General features: G+C 37.5%; 1 protein-coding gene across 12 annotated transcripts in view; it reads left to right on the top strand.

Annotated features, from left to right (window-relative positions):
• Positions 1–16,356, top strand: part of ALKBH8 (alkB homolog 8, tRNA methyltransferase) — a 63,009-nt gene that overhangs the window by 13,742 nt on the left and 32,911 nt on the right. For 6 of the 12 annotated variants that reach the window (NM_001378133.1, NM_138775.3, XM_047427870.1 and 3 more), the window contains 2 exons: positions 82–186; positions 2,171–2,241. In NM_001378133.1, coding sequence (NP_001365062.1) covers positions 82–186; positions 2,171–2,241 — 176 coding nt within the window. The remainder of the gene's footprint in view (positions 1–81; positions 187–2,170; positions 2,242–16,356) is intronic. The other 6 variants (NR_165422.1, NR_165424.1, NR_165425.1 and 3 more) reach the window with 1 other exon arrangement.

Genomic DNA, 16,356 nt, shown 5'->3' with positions numbered 1-16,356 from the left:
TCACAGTGACTTTTAAAATTGTTGAGTAAAACAAGCAAAGTAAATATTTTAATGTTTTGTCTTTATGATTACTCATTGTAGGTCTTCCTGACATTTGTGAAAGCTTTTTGGAGAAATGGTTGAGGAAAGGTTACATTAAACATAAACCTGATCAAATGACCATAAATCAGTATGAACCTGGGCAAGGTGAGTATTTCTTGTTCAAAAATTTTAGTCACATATTTTGGAACTGAGTAGATGATATAATTCTCTAAGGGCAGATATATTATTATTATTATTATTATTATTTTTTTTTTTTTGAGATGGAGTTTCGCTCTTGTTGCCCATGCTGGAGTGCAACGGCGTGGTCTCGGTTCACTGCAACCTCTGCCTCCTGGGTTCAAGTGATTCTCCTGCCTCAGCTTCCCAAGTAGCTGGGATTACAGGCGCACACCATCATGGCCCAACTAATTTTTGTATTTTTGTAGAGATGGGGTTTCACCATGTTGGCCAGGCTAGTCTCAAACTCCTGACCTCAGGTGATCTGCCCGCCTCAGCCTCCCAAAGTGCTGGGATTACAGGCATGAGCCACCGCGCCCAGCCAAGCAAATACATTATTTTTAAGCTCAAATTAACTGTCAGATTGCCTTGCTTATGTTTGTTACTTGTGTTGACTTCAGTCTTTGCAAATCTACACTTTAATCCCTTGAGGAACTTGCATTTCAAAGTGTAAACACACTGATACAAATCACTGTTTGTGATTTTTTTTGTTTGTTTCCCTTTCAACGTTTCCTTTAGAGAGGGAAGACATTGGTCTGAAAAACATAGGAGACGTGTAATGGAAGAAACCAAATAATTTATAGATAGAAGAAGGCTGATTGGTTGGATGATCTTTCTCTTCTTTCTATTTGATAATATGGGAGACAATTGCAGGATGACATTCTGGTGAAAAATCTTTATGATACTGATTTCTTATACTTGTTAGCAGCATCTTCATCTGACGTTTATAGCAATCAAATGATTTTAAGGGTTTTATTTTTTACTTTTTTTGGCTTAAACAACAGAAATGTATTTTTTCACAGTGTAGAGGCTGGGAAGTTCAAGATCAAGGTGCTGGTTGATTGGGTTCCTGGTGAGGCCTCCCTTCCTGGCTTGTCATCAGCCACCTTCTCTCAATGTCCTCACATGTCCTTTTCTCTGTGTGTGCATGTGCATGGAGAGAGAGCGAGCTTCCACGTGTAAGATTAGGGCCCCACACTTATGACGTCTTTAATTTAAGGGTTTTATTAACGGCAGGAGTTATGGAGTTTTGTTTTCTTTTCTACATTTATTATAATGAAAACTGATGGCTTTAGATTTGTAGCTGTGGATTTGTGAATACTACACCTCTGAATTAGAGAGACATGCTGACCTTGTCTCTAGCACAGCGAGACAACTGAAGCTGAAGCAGAGGCCGTTCCTGTAGAGCACAGAGGCCGGGGCCACTCTTAAAGACGCAGAGGCCTGTAGGATGAAATGTGAAGGAGCATGTGTTAGCTCCTGCAAACCAGCTGGCTCTGAAAATGAGAGGGAAGGGCTGAGCCAAGTAAGCTTGACCCCAGATTAACTAGTCAGCCAGGGCATTTCTTCTTTGCCTTTCTTACCTAGCTGTCTTTCCATTGGCTTGTAAGCTCTTTGAGGACAGGGACCCTCCTACTGGCTTTGTATACCCTCACCGTGTAGCAACATTTCTTTTACTTAAGAGGTGCTGAGTTAATGTAAATTGATAGATCAGTGGAGAAGTCCATATCGTAATTATTGATACGCCTAGTCTTTATACCTGGTTATTGCTTTTGTTCTGCAAGTACTTGGGAATCCAGTGTTTGAAGGTAAAAATGACTTTTGTATTTGTCTTTCACATTTTCCTCTTGGGCTGGAATTGAGTTAAGTGTCCTAGTTAATCAGTGACTCCTGAGCCTTGATTTTAGATCAAACCCCAATGGCACTTTAACTTGAAGTTAAGATATTTTTAGTTTATTTTAGTATGTTTTAGTCACATTCACCCTAAATGTTTCCTTTTAACCAAAATTATAGTACCTTCCTGATTACCAAGCAATGTTTTCACCTTAATAGCATAAGGCTACATTTATAGCCATCTTAAATCTACTAAAGGAAAAAATGAAGTGACGTGTTGTCCTGTTTTCCATCTCAGGAATTCCCGCTCATATTGATACACATTCCGCTTTTGAGGATGAGATCGTTTCTCTCAGTTTGGGGTCAGAGGTAAATGGTCATTTTTATTAGCTATCATCATATATCTTACCTTGTACAATGCCCTTTTCAAAGATTATCCACATTCTTAATGAAAATGAATTAAGATTTAAAAATGAAAAATAAGGGCACCATTAGCACTTTGGTTTCTTTTAAATGTCCTCTTCTTTTAAATATCCAAAATTTTATCTGTCACCTCATCAGATGCCAGGAAAACAACTTGAAATTTAATTTTTTACACGAAACTTTTAGCAGTTAAATAAGATCTAGACTTTCCTTGGTACAATGTGGCCCATTTCTGACCTACTGGTGCAGCATTGCCATCTAGTGGCAAAAGATAGTAGCTTCATGCCATAGAAAAAGGAAACAAATTAAAATGTGTGTTCTGAATTTTGATGAACTTTTTCCGTATGTTACCTGATTCAATCCCTTCAAAAACTCTGAGAAGTAGAGGGTAATATCTTCATTTTTACAGATGAAGAATAAGAGGTTCATGTTTATTCATTGATTTGTTTCTGTAGCTGCACTTTGCTTGAGCCACTAAAAGAAAATATTACATGTGAAGTGATCCACGCAACCTACAAGCAGATTTTTGGATAGAAATCAGAATTTTAGGCTGGGTGCGGTGGCTTATGCCTGTAATCCCAGCACTTTGGGAGGCTGAGGCGGGCAGATCACGAGGTCAGGAGATTAAGACCATCCTGGCTAACACGGTGAAACCCCGTCTCTACTAAAAATACAAAAAAATTAGCCGGGCATGGTGGCATGTGCCTGTAGTCCCAGCTACTCGGGAGGCTGAGGCAGGAGAATCACTTGAACCTGGGAGGCAGAGGTTGCAGTGAGCCGAGATTGCGCCACTGCACTCCAGCCCGGGTGACAGAGTGAGACTCTGACTCAAAAAAAAAAAAAGAAAGAAAATCAGAATTTTAAATCTGGAAGAGTCCTTAAAACATCAGGTCATCTAATCTAATTAGAGTCTGTATCAAATTCTGATCTTGTTCCTGGAGGCAAAAACTATTCATTTTTGTTTTCCCGTATTTGTATAGTTTCCATCATTAGATCTTCAGTGTTTTGGCCTCTTAACCCTTCCCGAGCTTGTGTAGTCATGTTGATACTGTCACTTGACAATTAGTGGTGTTTGATATGACACAACCATCTTATTAACTATGTATGTAGATTCTTAATACAGGTGCTTTAAAAAATAATGAGATCGGGGAGGAAAAAACACTCTTCTCTCTCTGGTTTCTTTTTTATTTTTACCCCCCATCCTTGCTTCTAGCTTTAGGGACCAGTAAAGGACATCTTCTCATTTTCCTCCCAACTGTGTAACCAACTGAGAAATGAGACAAAAGATAATTCGAGATCAGAGTGTTAACTTTACTACTGAGAAAACTGATGGCAGAACATGACTTTAGATCTGTAGCCAAGTGAACTTGTTAATACTTCACCTCTGAATTAAAGAGACATACTGACCTTGTCACTGGCGTAGCTGGACAACTGGAGACCTTCCCCATGGAGGCAGAGGCTGTTCGTATAACAGGACACGAAGGAGCTCCTCTAACAGGACATGTGTTAGCTCCTACAAACCAGCTGGCTCTGAAAATGAGAGGAAAGGGCTGAGCCAAGTGAGCCTGGCTTCAGAGTAACCAATAAGCAAAGGCATTCCTTGTTTTCAGGAGAGTTGTAAGTGAAGGGGTGGAAAAAAACTAGGAGTGTGCTTTCTACTTTTTATTCCTAGGGAAGTTCCCTTCCTTCCCAGGGAGATATGAGAAATGAGGACTCAATATCCCCCCCAGCGCCCTAGAAGATCATTGCACAGGTTTTAATTAGAAATTATGAAGAAGGGAAAATTTGCCCTTTAGTTGAACTGAAAATCTGCTGCATTCATTATCTCTATTTGGTGTCTCTGGAAGCATATAATTTTCAGCTGCCAATTTGAATGACGTTTGGTTAAAGCCATCTTTGTAATGGCTGGAAAGTGTGCATAAGTTATGACAGGAACAGTAGATTTTCTTTTAAAATACCTTTGAGAGTAAGTGAATCATTGTAATTTTGAAAAATGAAGTTTATTTTTATGATTACTTGAACATATTCTTAAAACCCTTATAATTTTAAGTTTATAATGTTTGTTTCAGCTTATAATACTATTTAAAACAGTCCACTAAATTTGGGCCTTTATTTCATCTATAAAATGAGATTAATAATATTTCTTTCCTGGCTGAAGGATTGTGATAGAAATAAAATGAGGTAATGTATGTGAAAGTATTTTTCAAATTCAGAGTAATCCATGCGTGTAAAGGCTCCTTCAGGTGTATCTGTTCTAGGGCTCCTTACTTAAAGCCTTCACTTCTGTAACAGGAGGAAGCTCATGTTCCCACAGCCTAGAAGTAGGATTTCAAGTGGTCATGAGAGAGATGACTTTCCACTCTTGCAACTTGTGCTGTTCTGTTTTATTGATTGATTGATGCTGTGTAATTACTTGAATTTCTCCTAGCACCTTACTCCACACCTAGAATCTGAGTACTATACCTTTGGCCCTATTTCTTTACTTTCTTATCTTTGACATCCTCAGTCGTTTTAAGAACTTTCCTGTAATGCCTATGGCAGCTTCCATTTCATTGTAATAATTTTGTCAGTGGCATTATTGTTTTGGTTTTTTGTAATGCTTTTTCGTTTTGTTTGGCTTAAATATAATGTCAAAGACTCAGCTAAAGTCATTGACGTTATATTTAATACTTTACTTTTCTCTCTTTCCCAGGAAATTTCTAAGATCTCTTTCAATTCTTAAATGTTCCAACTCATGGTGTTCCCATGAGGTATTCTTAACTTTAATATAATTCTTCAATGCTTTATTACTTAAAATGCTTTATTTGTATGACTACTGGAGCATATTCTTTTTAAAGCTCTTATAGTATGTCTAAAAATAGTGTACATTTTATATTAAGCAAAAATAGTCTTGTTTTTTTCAAATACATTAGTTTTCCCTCTACAACTAAGTTGTGATTTTCTTTAAGGCTTTTGTACCTTCGAAATATGTATGATATGTGTATAAGTGAGGATGATTTAGCTGCAATTAACAGCAGAAAACCCAAATAAAAATGATTACAAGGCAAAACAAGTTAATATCTCATATAACAAGATATCTCAAGGAAGGCTGGTTCCAAAAGTTTTAACTTGTTGGCTCAGGTCGGTAATTTCATCAAGGAACCAACCAATTTCTTTCCATCTCAAATACTCAGTGCTCCCCTAACTGAGGATGAGCTTAGGGAAATATCCAAGGAGTAGGCTGCATCGGGTTATATGACAATAACATATACCTGTGAAGTCTACTAGGCTTTTGTTTTTAGGTAATCCTTCACTGATGAATTTGTCCTGCCGTAAATTGCAGCCTGCCTTTGCTGGCCAGGCATGTTTTGAGAGATGCCCTTGCTATAACCTTTTATGATAATAAACTAGTAATGTTGTTGGGCAGATAACTCAGTTCATCAAGTACCGTAAGAGTTGGTCAGCTGATAATGAAAATAACTATTTAATGTGCATCTCCCTAAAACCAATACCTAACTTCTATTATAAATAAGGAAGAAAACTTTTGATTAGGACTTATCTGGGAAAACGAAACTAAAATTTATGAAGATGATTTTTAAAGAAAAATTTTATTTAACAATTTTTAGGTTATATTACAACTATGTACTAATTTTTTAGAACAAAGAATGAGTCACGTGAACTTTGTTTTTGGTCTTGTTTTTCTGATAAAATATGGTAGCATGATAAAAATTCCTTTATTTGACTTTTATAGCTTGATTATAAAGAGTGCGTTGTTGTGTTATTTGCTTTATTTTTCTCTTCGTTGTGAAAGTCCTGACTCTGCCAGATTTTCAGATGTTTAATGGATTTGCATGTGATTTAAATGGTCCTCTGACATCCCTTTTATCAATTTCGGGAAGTCCATCTTTTGTGAGAATTGCAATTTCAATTAGTTTTGGGTTTGCATTGCACTGGCTAGTATTTATATAATCAACATTCACTGAAAGACTGACCAAAGGGATTACCATAATGGGCAGAGATAGCTGCTGATATTGAAGAGAGAGAGAGCTATTTGGGCAAGTACTAATTTTATGGAAGTCCGTTCATCAGTAAATATTTCTTATTATGATGACTTTTGCAACTCAGTGGGTGGGGATAATTGGATAGTTGGGTAGTAAAGACCCCATCTGCTGAATGTTTGCTATAGAAGGCCACGTCTTTCAGTATATTTCCTGCTCTCTTTCCAGGCTCATGCTTTCAGCAAATACCTGTTGAGTCCTGCCTGACTCCTATGTTGAGTCATAGGGTACTGAGTAAAAATTATTTATGCAGTATCTTGAAATACCTAGCTGAATGGGTTTTTTTAGTCATTGTTTTTTGTTTTGTATTCCCAGTCTGGTCAATCAGAATGACTCACAGGGTACTTCTGTTCTAAGAGTTTATTGTTTTAATGGACAAATGTTTCATTATTTTCAGATCTTTAGCACAAACTGGAAAAAACACCCAGACATTTTCTTTATACCACTTAAAACAACAATACAGTCTGGACCGCAGACATACTGGCTTCATCTCCAACCTCAAATTCAGCCCTCAATATTTGCCTATATAAGCAATGTTTACAGCCTCAGAAGCCAAACAATCTCTTCTTTTAGTTTTTATCTTGATTCCAGGCCCCATACTTTATTCTTATCTGAGAGTCCTTGGAATATTTTCATTTCCTGAAGTTCTGAAAAATGGATTGTCTCTGCTGTGTAGCTCCTCTCTCCTTTCTCTCATTCTTTATAGCTTATTTATGATTTTTTTACTCTGTCTCTGTAGTGCCTTTAGCATTAAAAAGATAGTGATCTACCATCCTGGTGGGTGTGTATTTCTCCTTCTTTGTGTGTGTGTGTGTGTGTGTGTGTGTGTGTGTGTGTGTGTGTGTGGTTTGTATCTAAAGCCATGGTGACTTCTGTATGGCTCTATATGTATATTGATGTAGATGTGGGAAAAGAGTGTAATTCTCATGTGGGTTCTTTAGTTGCATCATAGTATAATTAAAGTGGCATTGGGCCAATCTTCATTTTTCCTTTTATCCTGTGGGTCTCTAACATTCAAAACTTCTGGAGTAGACAAGTAGATCTGCTGGTTTGTGGGCCAGAAATAAATAAATGGTCTACCTTGTTTGATCATGTCATTTTTTATACATTGAATTCTATTTTTCACTTTTAAGCACTTTCCTTAGTAACTTAAGTTCTGAAGATTCTTCTATTTTTATGTAATTTTCTCATCTTTCAGGATCTCTTGGAAGCCAGCATTCTCTTTTGCATAAATTGGTCAAATAAGACTCAATGCTGACAGTTCTTAACAGGCACTCTTTATCTTTTTTCTGTGGAGTGGGAGCTTCTTTAGTCAAGCCCCTTCAATAAGGATAATGTCAAAGAAGTATACCTGTTTCAGCCAGCAGTCTGCTAACAAAGTCTGTTTCATGGCATGACATCATAAAATAGAACATGCTGCTGTATTTGGAGCCTTTGGAGTACTGATTCTTCCATCTTTTCAGTTAGAACTATGTGCATTTACTTTGTAGCAAGAAAGCAGCATTATATCACTCCATCTGGATTGTAGAACTAGAATAAAATTCAGAAAAATCAATAGAGTTCAGAAAACTACAGTAGAAGCCCGCTTAAGTGGTATAGATGAAACTACCAGTTGGCTGCACTTAAATTAGGGAATAGTCATAATAAAAGATATGTACATACTGCAGACATTTTAACACATATAAATTCACTCATCAATATTTTGTTGCGGGGCCAAAGTCTTTGCATCTGTGAGGGGCCACAGTCTGCTTTGTCTCTCCAATTTCATTTCTTTAAAGTGAAGCAAACGTTTAAAGACATGAAACCATCTGAATGTGGGGTTTTACATTTTGATGTTTTTGTTTCCAATATTTTATAATCAAATTTTCACATTTATTGGAACATTAAATTTATTTTTTGCCTTTATTGAGTCATTCTACAATATTCAACTTGGCTTCTATAGAAAAATGCTATCTTTTCTCGCTTAATTTTCATTCATTTATGTAATATTAAATTAAATAAAATAATTACAATGATAAGGGTAACTGGCACAGTGATTTGGGAACATACACAATTTGACTTGTTAAGCATATAGCTCTACTGGTGAGAATAGAAGTGCATGGACATATTGGAGAGTTGTCTATCATCAACAAATATTCAGGGCATGGGTACACATTATAGAAGGAATGGAGCATGTTGGTTGGTTAAATGGATGTTGGTTAAAAGAACTTTTACTTATGTGACCAGCATTGTCCTGTGCATTCTAGGGGATACAGAAATACCTTCAACCTTGATTTTTTTCCCCTCAGATATTAGACCTGAATATCTAACATTCTTCTTTTTTTTTTGAGACGAAGTCTCTCTCTGTTGTCCAGGCTGGAGTGCAGTGGTGTGATCTTGGCTCACTGCAACCTCCGCCTCCGGGTTCAAGCAATTCTGTGCCTCAGCCTTCCAAGCAGCTGGGATTACAGGTGCCCACCACCACGCGTGGCTGATTTTTGTATTTTTAGTAGAGACAGGGTTTCACCATCTTGGCCAGGCTGGTCTTGAACTCCTGACCTTGTGATCCACCCGCCTTGGCCTATATCCAACATTCTAAAAGGGATTTTAACTTGTCTAAATCAAAGCTCATTGTCTTTGTTTTCAGCGATTCACCGTCCACTGTCATTCTCCCATACGGAACAAAATCTTTGCTCTTTCTGGGTTTCCTGCTCTGGTTAATGACCCCACTGTCATTAGAACATTCAGAACATGGCAAATATTCCTGTTTTTTGAGACAGGATCTTGCTCTGTTGCCCAGGCTGGAGTGCAGTGGCACACTCATGGCTCACTGCGGCCTCGACCTCCCAGTCTCAAGCAACCCTCCCACCTTAGCCATCCTAGTAGCAGGTACTGCAGGCACGAGCTACCATGCCCAGCTAATTTTTGTATTTTTTGTAGAAACGGGGTTTTGCCCTGTTGCCCAAGCTGGTCTTGAATTCCTGGGCTCAAGCAGTCTGCCCTACCTTGGCATCCCAAGGTGCTGGGATTACAGGCATGAACCATTGCACCTGGTTGGTGTCAAATATTCTTGAAATGTATTTCAATGATTATAAATTTTGCTTTTAAGTACCGCTTTATTGCATCCCATGTTTTCTGTTAAAAACTGCTTTGTGGAGATATAACTGACGTCCCAAGCACTGCACATACTTAATAAAAAGCTCATGAAACCTTCACCACACTCAAGATAATGAACATATCCATCATTCCCACAAGCTTCCTCATGCACTAATTTTTCCTCATGCACTAAAGATTTCATCTACTTTTTTGTGGCTTATGTTATTGCTCTTGTTACATTTGAGGGTGACTTTTGTTTATTTCTCTAGGTTCTTTTAAGATTTTTTGCTTTTATCTTTTGTTTTATTTTTATGATCCTGCTTATTCTGCTTATTTTGATTGGCTTGTTTATTCTGCTTGGGAATTACCAGGTTTCTTGAATCTGTAGATTGAGTTTTTCCATCAATTTTGGAAAATGCTTAGTAATTGCCTCTGTAGATTTTGCCCCTGCCCCCATTCTTTCTTCATTTACCTTTTTTCTACATTTTTTATTTTACTTATCCTGTCTTCTGTGTTTTCTATCTTTTGTCTCTCCATGCTTTACTCTAAATAGTTTCTTCTGTCACTAATTCTTTATTTTGCTGTGTTAATATGCTGTTAAGCTCATTCATTGATATCCTAATTTCAGTTACGGCATTTTTCTGTTTTAGAATGTCTGGTTTTTCTTTATATCTACAGGGTCTCTTTTTTATCGTTTCTGTTCCCTGCTGAAATGTTCAAGCTTAGCATTTATATCTTTAAACATGGTAAGCATCTTTGTTTTATAGCCTGTTTCTGATATTTGAATATTTGAGGTCCCTGTGATTTTTTTCTGTTTCCCCTGCTAGGCTATCTTTTTCCAGAGCAGGTACTGTGTCTTATTCTGATTCAGAATGTCTGATATGGAGGCTGGCTTTCTACATTTATAGAAAGCTCACAGGTGATTTTGTTATTTAGCTAGATTTTATACCATTGAGTTAGAAAATGCTGAAATGCTAAAGCTGTGTAGTATCAACTCCAAGGACAGTGGGATTTTAGCTTTGTTCTTTAAGACAAAGAATAAATAGAAATTAATATAGGCCCCCAATGGTAGTTCTAATCATCATTCAATTAAATATTCCAGTGCAATACTAGAAACTGAAGAAGTTAAAGACTATGTGTATTGGTTTCAGATCCTGGGATGTTTGTACCAGGGCTGAATTAAATACTGGACTAGTTGGGGGACTTGGGTTTTAGCTTATCCCTATTAGTAACTTTTAATTGACTATGGAGACAATTTCGGTGCTTTCTGTCTTAAATTGAAGTTGACATGTAATACTTGCATTTTAATTGTCATCAGGAGTTGATACACAGTTAGTAATATGAATAGTAGCTACTATGGCTTTTACTCCTTTGACCATCAGCACTACCATTGCCATGATCATTATCGCCAACAGCTAACTATTCTGTGCTAGAGACTGTGGTAGATGCTATATTAAGTGAACTTTTCCTCATGGGGAGCAATCTAGGGCCTCAGGAATAGATATACCCATGACTGTTGTTCTTATTACTCTAGCTGTCTCATTTTGGTTCTTTGTGAATCTGATGGTTTACTTTGCTTAAGGAGGAAAGCCCAGAAAATAAACAAATAGAATTTAGGAAGTCTTCTGTACAAATATAAAATATACACCACCCTATTTGTAAAAATACATTATTTATGATGAATTCATTCATTCATTCAAAAATATTTGTTGAATATAATTTACTAGACAGACTGTAACAAGTAAACAAAGATACAATTTAAAATATTTTTTAAGCTAAAATATTTTATTTCTTCTATAACCTTTTCATATGTAAAGTAAAACTTAATTTTATCGAAGTGGTTTGTGAGCCCATTTTTGAATGTTGGTGGATTTCACTTCATAGTTCCTGCAAACAAATGAAGCAAATAAATGAAGCCATGGTATATAAGTGAGAGCTCAAAGCAAGTGGTCTCAGTGTAAACACATCAACATAATATATTATCTGTTAGGCATTTAAGCTAAGCATTTATAATATTGGATGTGCAATGGTGGCTAAAGTGTCTCCAATTTAGCATTTTCTTTTTTAGCTGATTTTCCAGTTATGCAACATATATTTTGTTCTGTATTGTAACATTTGACAGTGTGTCTAGACCGTTAGCCAGAAAGATGCCTTTTATTTTTATTTTACATTACACTTGAGCTTAGCTAGACAAAACAGTTCAAAGCCATCTGTATTTGGGGGTGAAGAGTAAGAGAGGGCAGAATCTATTTGTTCAGCAGCTGAGGCCTAGTTTTGGAAGTCAGGGTTGTATTTGAAAGGTGGAATTTGCCAACTTTTGCTATACAATAGATTTTTTTGTGGTGTTTTCTTTTTAACTTTTTGCTGGATCTAATTTTGCCTATTTCACATATGCAGTACTGCAGGCACATTCCCAGATGTATATACCCTAAATGTGTGCATGGTACCTGATAACTAGGAAAGCTTCTACACCAGAGAGGCAAACGATGTTCTGCCTCTCATTTTCTCTCAGTAGCAATGAGAAATAAGTGCCTTTGGACCACAGTGGTATTTAGCTGCTGCCCGTAACACTTCATCGCCCACTCTTTGATGCCATAGGGCACCATCCTGTGCTCATGTGTGCAGTTTTTCTCCTCTCATGACCAGATTATTGAGGCTTGTACTTTATGAAATTGCCGCTGGCTTCAGAACAAGGGAATAGAACTTGTTTTCTTTTAGTCACTTTCAAATGGGAGGTCCTGTATGTTGATTACAGGATGTGTTGGTGACATTGCCACTTTTCCTTCGAGCTTCATAAGACTTTGTAATTTGGGGATTCTAACTTTCAAGACATTTAGCCAATGGATTTAAGTTTCCTGTGTGTGGGGGTTGTTTTCTGTTTTTGCTTTTTGTTGTTGTTTTGTTTTTTAAACATCCCTTACCAGTAGGAATCAGGGAAGGGAAACAGGTTTGTGGTGGGCCTAGATTTGTTTTTGTTTTTGTTTTTTTTTGGTGGATTCTCGCTCTGTTGCCCAGGCTGGAGTGCAACGGTGAGATCTTGGCTCACTGCAACTTCCACTTCCTGGGTTCAAGTGATTCTCTTGCCTCAGCCTCCCAAGTAGCTGGGACTATAGACGCCCACCACCATGCCGGCCATTTTTTGTATTTCTAGTAGAAACGGGGTTTCACCATGTTGGCCAGGCTGGTCTCAAACTCCTGACCTCAAGTAATCTGCCCACCTTGGCCTCCCAAAGTGCTGGGATTACAGGCGTGAGCCACCACACCTAGCCAGTGGGCCTTGATTTTAACCTATTCTAAAGGAGGAGGCCATATGGCATAGGTAGAAGGTTTAAAGGTCACTAGCATCAGCCATTAGTCTCCAAGGTGTCTCCAGGGCAAAATTACTGTCAATTCCTCTGCCCTGGAAAATACCAGCAAGCTTTTCTTCCAGTTACTTTTCAGCTTAGCAAAGTGTACTTCTGCGGGTATCACCTTTTGTGGAATTTCCTCTTTGCTGTTTAAAATAAAAAGGAAACTCTTACTTCATTTGGGTCAAATGAAATTGTTAGCACAACTATAGAATATTTCTGTTTGGTAGACTGTGGGAAACAGGTGAACTTTCAGCTATGAAATATTTTCTCTAGTTAAATATAGTAAGTTCTGCCCTCTTAGCTTTTATCATTCTCTATGAATCACACATCGTTTTTCACATCATATTGTCCCCTGTCCAGCTATTCTTTAGGGATTTCTCTAAAAAGGTTAATCATCTCGGCCTCTTTCTAACCATTAAGGATCAGGATTAAATTTGTCTTCTTTCTCAGAAGTGTTCCCAGTAGCGTATATTCTTCTTTATCCTATTTAGCCAACATGGAGATCTGTTTATTCCTTCATGTGCTTTTCTGTTATGAATGTTAACTTTTCTTCGTTGATAGATTGATAACTGTGTCTGGCATTTTTGTTCTCTTGTATTTTGGATGTGTGAAAGTTGTATAAGATGAGAATGTCTAAGGGTTTGTTTGCTTAGGACTGAACATTATCCTCAGTCATGCCCTATAAGCTTGCTGGGCACTTGATCTTTATTGACTCTGCCATCTCAGAAAATAGGTAAAAACAAAAAGAATAATTGGAAAAAGCTCCTGTGGAGCAAAATTTTCACATAACAGAATGATTCAGCAGTTTCAGGGGAACTTTATTGATTGAATATTTTTTTAAAGTCTTTTTATTTTGTGGTCTTTTAACAAGCATTTAGTTAAAGTACAGATAGTTTAAATATGATGATACTGAAAATACTTTATTTTGATGATGGAATGTTGTAGGAAAAATGTAATTTTCATAGGAAGTCTACATTTAATTTTATAAGTAAAATTATATCTAAATTTAAAAAAATATACTGTCAAATTATATGCCAAAATAAGTTTCAGAGATATAAAGGATAAAATGTGTAAAAAAAAACAGAAAATCTGTAATAAAATAGGAGCGAATATTTATCTGATCAAGATGGGGGCTTTGTAAGCATATGAAGAAATTGTGTTTTTGTGTCTTGTAGTCATAAAATAGATTGACAACATTAAAAAAAAATTCAGAACTTCCAAGGCCGGCTATCTAAATTGTGGGGCCCAATTCCAAATGAAAGTATAGACTCCTTATTCAAAACATAGGAAAATGGACCAGAAAGGCACTAAAGTATAAAGCTTTTCCTTCTGTGGTCTTTCTCATCTTGTCAAAGTGGTTTTTATTTTCTATTTAGTGCCATCAGTGTAAAGAAATCTAAATTTTGATTTATTGGCATGAATTTTACCATTTGTCTTCATATTGTGTGACACTAGTTTTAAATGCAAATGTAAGAACATGTAACTCATATGGAATCACCAAATTTTTTTTTTTTTTTGTCTTCAACTTTTATTTTAAGTTCAGGGGTACATGTGCAGGTTTGTTACATAGATAAACATGTTCCATGGTGGTTTGCTGCACAGATCATCCCATCACCTAGGTATTAAGCCCAGCATCTATTAGCTATTCTTCCTGATGCTCTCCCTTCCCCCACCACCCCCTCCAACAGGCCCCAGTGTGTGATGTTCCCCCTCAATGTGTCCATGTGTTCTCATCATTCAGGTACCACTTATAAGTGAGAACATGTGGTATTTGGTTTTCTGTTCCTGTGCTAGTTTGCTGAAGATAGTGGCTTCCAACTCCATCTGTGTCCCTGCAAAGGACATGATCTCATTCCTTTTTATGGCTGCATAGTATTCCATGGTGTATATGTACCACATGTTCTTGTTCTAGTCTATCATTGATGGGCATTTACATTGATTCCATGTCTTTGCTATTGGGAATCACCAAACTTAAACAATTTGTATTTTGTACTTGTACATTCATTTGTGATCATTTTTACCAGAATAGTGGAAACACTGCACAAAACTAACCCAACAATAACCATTTTTGTTTCACTTCTTGATTTGTGCACCTTCTGCTAACATTGTCTGTCTTCTAGAAGGACTGGAAGGAAATGGAATTATGAATTTTCAGGAGTCTGGCTCCAGGCTGAAACCCTATGTGATTTTTCAGGCCTCACCATAGGTGATGACAAAGGCTTTACCTGGTGGCCTCATGGGGGAAAAAGCTGCCCTCCTCATAGTAGACTTGATGCACAGCCAGTGCATTACAGTCTAAGTGGAGTTGTAATGAAGGGGTCAAACGTCCCTGGCTGGTTATGCTCTTATGCCTATTTGCATTCCTAGCCTAGACACCTTCATTCCTCGAACTCTTTATCTGAGGTCTTTGGCTGACGTCCTCTTCAGGCACCTCTGCCGAGGCCTTTTTGTGGAGGAGGGAGTTGGAAACCTCAAAGACATTTTCCTTACTCTGACTTGGTACTAGCTACTTTTCAATTCCTAGTCTTTCCCACTCACCCTTCCCCTTACCGCTGAGTTTATAACACTGCTGGAACCTTTCATTCAGGGTTCCCTCAGCAGTGAGACAATCCCCACATTCAAGATGATCCACCTCAACCTCAAGTCATGCAGTGTTCAGTGGAGAAAAATGGGACTGGGGGGAGTTGGTGCTTCCTCTGGTTTTAGACCTTTGTTTATGCTATTATATCACAATAAGTGATCAACTTTCATTTTTGGCTTATTGCATTAATCCACTACTCTGAGCTCTTTCTTTCAGCCTTCAGGTTGTCCTGTCATTCCGTATTCTTCTACATCATCATTTTCACTGTTAAGCAGTTGGCTAACACAGGGAAGTAACATGAATAAGAAAGGATATGATGGTGGGGTTCCTTGTGTTACTTTAGACAAGTTAAATTTAATTGAGTTTAATTATGCAATGAATGATTGATAAATCAGGCAATGCCCTGAACCAGAATAGGTTCAGAGAGACTCCAGTGCTGCCGAGTGGTTGGAGAGAATTTATGGACAGAAAAAGTAAAGTGACATATAGAAAACAGAAGTGAGGTACAGAAACACCTGGATTAGTTACAGCTTGGCGTTTGCCTTATGTGGACATGGTTTGAACAGATGGCCACCTTTATTGTGTGAAACTCAGTGATTGGTAAAATAGTAGGTAGCAGTCTGTTTAGACATCCAGTTAGATTACAGTTCACTATGTATGAAGAACCTTTAGGCTGAACTTATAAGGAGGCAACTAACTTTAGGCTAAATTTAATTTAACACTTGATTGCTTGTGTTTCTTAGAACACCATTGTCTTCTTTCTACATTTGAAGCAAGTTCTGGAGGACCCTCTAGGCTGTCAGTGTACCCTCACTCACTCAGTGGTAGACATAAAGTGCTTACTGTGTACTCTGAGTCTCGGTGAACTCTCACACTTTCTGTGTTCATGGGACATTGTGGACACATTACCCAAATGGGCCTCAAGGAACTGTGGACAAGCATATTGCGTGCATCTCCTTGCTTAAGCCCATACTCCATTGTTACATCAGACTTCATTTAACACAAGTTCAAAGATAAA

This window comes from Homo sapiens, chromosome 11 (genome assembly GCF_000001405.40).
Source record: "Homo sapiens chromosome 11, GRCh38.p14 Primary Assembly".
NCBI lineage: Eukaryota > Metazoa > Chordata > Mammalia > Primates > Hominidae > Homo > Homo sapiens.
This window is presented reverse-complemented; position numbering and strand designations above follow the sequence as displayed.